This window comes from Homo sapiens, chromosome 12 (assembly GCF_000001405.40).
Source record: "Homo sapiens chromosome 12, GRCh38.p14 Primary Assembly".
Taxonomy (NCBI): domain Eukaryota; kingdom Metazoa; phylum Chordata; class Mammalia; order Primates; family Hominidae; genus Homo; species Homo sapiens.
The window spans coordinates 44,463,669-44,468,365 of record NC_000012.12 but is presented as its reverse complement, the minus strand read 5'-3'; the positions used below and the strand labels follow the sequence as shown (position 1 = coordinate 44,468,365).

The following is a 4,697-nucleotide window of genomic DNA, read 5'->3' as shown; positions in this document are numbered from 1 at the left end:
TCTTTGACTCCGTTTCCCACATCCAGGGTAGACTGGTGTCAGAGTTGAGTTCCCAAGGCCTTGGGAAGCTCTGCCCTGTGGCTTTGTAGGGTTCAGCCTCTGTGGCTGCTCTCATGGTAGTGTTGAGTGCCTGTGGCTGTTCCAGGTGCAGGGTGGATCTACCATTTTGCTGCTGGTGGATCTACCATTCTGGAGTCTGGAGGACGATGGCCCTCTTCTCACAGTTCTACTAGGCAGTGCAGCAATGGGAACTCTGCCTGGGGGCTCCAACCTCACATTTCCCCTCCACACTGTTCTAGAAGAGGTTCTCCATGAAGGTTCTGCCCCTGAAGCAGGATTATTTCTGGACACCCAGGCTTTTCCATACATCCTCTGAAATCTAGGCAGAGGCTCCCAAGCCTCAACTCTTACACTCTATGTACCTGTAGACTTAACATCATGTGGCAGCCACCAAGGTTTACAGCTTGTACCCTCTAAAGCAGCAGCCTGAGCTGTACTTGGGCCTGTGTGAGCCATGTCTGGAGTGACTGGGATATGAGGAGCAGTGTCCCTAGGCCTGGCCCATAAAACCATTTTTCCCTCCTAGGCATCTGGGACTGTGATGGGAGCAGCTGCTGCAAAGGTCCCCGAAATGCCTTCTAGGCCTTTTCCCCATCGTCTTGGCTATTAGCACTTGGCTCCTTTTGACTTAGGCAAATTTCTGCAGTCTGCTTGAATTCTTCCTCCTGAAAATTGGTTTTTATTGTCTACCACATGGCCATGCTGCAAATTTTTCAAACTTTTTACATTCTGCTTCCCTTTTAAATATAACTTCCAATTTCAGATCATTTCTTTGCTCATGCATATGAGCATAGGTTTATAGGTTTATAGAAGCAGCAAGGCTACATCTTGAACCCTTTGCTCCTTAGAAATTTCTTCTGCCAGATACCCTAAAGTATCACTCTCAAGTCCAAAGTCTGCATATCCCTAGAGCAGGGGCACAACGCAGCCAGGCTGTTTGCTAAGGTATAGCAAAAGTGATCATTACTCCAGTTCCCAATAGTTTCCTCATTTCCATCTGAGACCTCATCAGCCTGGTCTTCATTGTCCATATCACTATCACCATTTTGGTCACAACCATTGAACAAGTCTCTAGTAAGTTCCAAATTTTTATCATCTGTCTGTCTTTTTCTGAAACTTCTAAACTCTTCCAATCTCTGTCCATTACCCAATTTCAAAGTCACTTAAACATTTGTAGGTACCTTTATAACAATGACCCACTCCTTGCTACCAATTTTCTGTAATAGTCAGTTCTCACATTGCTATAAAGAAATACCTGAGACTGGGTAATTTATAAATAAAAGAGGTGTAATTGGCTCATGGTTCTGCAGGCTGTACAGGAAGCATTGTGCTGGCATCTGCTTGACTTCTGAGGAGGCCTCAGAAACCATACAATCATGGTAGAAGATAAAGGGGAAGCAGGCATATCTTACATGGCTGGAGTAGGAGCAAGAGAGAAAGGGTGAGGACCTACACACTTTTAAACAATCAGATCTCACAAGAACTCACTATTGCAACAACAGCACCAAGGAGGATGGTGTTAAACCATGAGAAACGTCCTCCATAATCCAGTCACCTCCCCTGAAGCCTCACCTCCAGCAATGGAGATTACAATTTGACATGAGATTTGGGTAGGAATGCAAATCCAAACCATATCACTTGCTGTACAAATTTGTAGCATAGCAGCAATAGGCTATGCCATCTAGCCTAGGTGTAGAGTAGGCTATACCACATAGGCTTCTGTAAGTACACTCTGATGTTTGTACAACAATGAAATTGCCTAATGACTGATTTCTTAGAAAAGTATCCCTGTTAAGTGACACGTGACTAAATTGTTACACGTCTTTTCAATCAACAAACCCCTTTTGTACATTCCTATTTGCAAAGCACTGTCTTTATTCCCAGGGAAAATTGTTGGAGAAGTTAGAGAGGACTAAAGAGAAGTAAAGGATTTGGTTCTTATATTTCAATAAAATCTTCAATCTAAAAGTGGGGGAAATCCAAGAACAAATAAAGTAGCTTTTTGATTAATTTTTTACATTTTTATTATTTTACATTTTTTATTTGCTAAGCTATAGTGAAAGGGGGAATTATCCTTACCTTCTACCTCTCTTACCCCCCAAATCCCATTCCAATTATAAATATTATACCTCTTTCTTAAAAAAAGTAGTTCCAGAATCTGATACCTCTTGTTATCTCCACCATTGTATAAAAGTCTGGCTTCATTTGTTCATATTTTGAAGCCTCACCCCTCCCTGTTTGCCTTCTGCTCTACATCAGAGAAGCTGATGAGAAAGTCCTAGATACTCCCTCCTTTGGCAGTAGCAGGAAGTTCAAAGCATGCGTGGGAACTCTCAATCCATCCCCAATTTCTAACTACCATCAAAACTCCAAGTCAGTCTGCTTTCCCTGCTCTCTCTCAAGGGCAGATTTGGCCCTCTTTGGACCAACTTGGGAGGCTTGCCTTGTTTTTCCTCAAGCCTTAATATGTGAGTAATAAATCTTTTTATGCCCTGTTTGTATGAGTGTGTGTCAACATCAGTCTCGATATCTAAATGAAACTTTGATTGGAAGAACATCCTGTTTGTCTGAAGTGGTCACAACATGTTATCACACTAGTTTAAGCTACCATCACCACTTGCCTGGGTTATTACAATAGCCTTCTACATTTTTGATCTCCCAGCTTTAGCTCTTGTTCCAATTTTGTCTGTTTTCTGTTGGCCAACCAGGTTGATCATTTTAAAATGTACATCATATCATGTAACTTCTCATTCGAAATCCACCAATGGACTCACACAGAATAAGAGCTGACGTTTTTACCATGGACTCCAAGGCACCTTGTGATTATTCCTCTGTATCACTCGGAGACATTCTCTCTTTCCCTCTTGTCTCTCCCTTTATCATTTCACTCTGGCTAGCCCTGGTGGCTTTTTCATTGTTCCTTACACACACTAAACATACTTCACCTCATTTTCACTTACTATGCCCTCTGCTGGACTTCTGGTCCTTTGCTGTGTCTACAGATATCCTAATGGTTGGTTCCTTCATTTTCTTCACAACTCTTCAAATCTCACTTTATCAATGGGGCCTTCTCTGACAATCTCTTTATGTAAAAATAGTAACTACCTCACTGTCTGTCACTCTCAATCTCTATTACTCTGTTTTATTTTTTCTTTATAGCATGGATCACTCCCAACATATTATATATTATCAATTTATCTGCTTACTGTTTTCACCTAGAAATTAAGTTCCCAAAGGTCAGAAATTTTGTTGTGTTCATTGTGACACATCTTCCTCTCCATGTGTGTATGGGTGTGTATGTGTGTGCATACACATACACACACACACACAGAGAGAGAGAGAGAGACCAGAATCCCCAGAATCCATAATTTAAAAACATATCTTGCTTGTGTAACTAAGCTAATTAATTAATCTCTCCTTCTCTCTATAGACACACAGATATACAATAAACAACATCAAGAATCTTTTCTGATTCTTACTCCAAATCTCTATTTTCCCTGGATAAGCAGACAAGGGCAATATGCAGAATTAAAGAGTAACATTAAAAGAACTTAGTTTTGCCTCTTGGTCCTATTTTGGACATGCTGTTCACTATAAATGAGTTTCAATTGGCCTGTCATTTATGCAAGGAATATAAGGCTAAGTCTTAAACCCAGAGCTGTGGTTCAGCTTATGTCCAAGTGCATGAAAAAAACAGGATGCTGGAATCTGCTGGGCCTGGTCTATGACCACTTTAGCCCAGTTTACATTAGGGATGATGAAAATTAAACAGACAATTCTCTGAACTCCCTTGTTTTTTTTTTTTCTTTTTAGAATCCTGCCCTGCAACTTGCAGGTGGAGGGGCTTGCAGGATGCTATTTGGAAGGCTGCAGCTTGTCTCACTTTGTTCTTTTTGTCCTATTGAGTTGACTCAGCATGGCAGCCCTTTGAAGACAGTGAGAGCTCTCTGTTTGTATTCCCTCCAAAGAGATGCACACTTACTGAAGGCTCAGCAGAGAATGTAGAAATCAGACTCCTCGGCCAAGCAAGCCAGTTCCCATGGAAAGCTGTGTGAGGCAAGGTTCTCATAGGTGCCTTCGTGTTTTTACATTTTGATCCTCTACATCTTTTTATGTTAAATCACAATTTTAAAAGTAGATCTAAACTATACTTAAATGCAAATATTGAGAGGATGGGATGCCTGACTAGTAGGACCCATGGAGATCTGATATTCTTATTGCTGCATTTTATCTTTGTGGTGATTCTGGCACTAAATGGAAAATAAAATTCTGACTTACTCTCATGTTGCATTTGAGTTAGCAACTTTGAATTCGTTTTTTTGATACTTGAGTTTTGCCTTTATTTCTAACTTTCTTTAGAATATATAACATCTTATGCCTTTTATACATTTTTTGTTTCTACCATTCTTACCACATTTATCATACCATGTCTTGTATTTTAGTCACTTTTAAAGGTTGGTCTTCCCCAAAGTAAATGTTGCTTGAAGGCAAGGAAGATATTTTCATGTAAGCTCTATAACCATGGGCCATATCCTTTACCAGAAATCGGATGGTCTGGATACAATTTAAAATCTTGCTACCTAGTGTGAGTCAGCATGCAGGACATCTGTCTAGTGAGAAATAGTCTAAAAACAAAA

The 4,697-nt window shown here is 40.5% G+C and overlaps 1 annotated feature.

Moving 5' to 3' along the window:
* Positions 1,295–1,490: a silencer, noted in NCBI's record as "fragment chr12:44860659-44860854 (GRCh37/hg19 assembly coordinates)". NCBI's record gives its function as "represses an EF-1alpha promoter that drives an FKBP-Casp9 reporter gene in an ReSE screen in K562 erythroleukemia cells {active_cell/tissue: K562}" and the evidence as "EXISTENCE:reporter gene assay evidence [ECO:0000049][PMID:32094911]".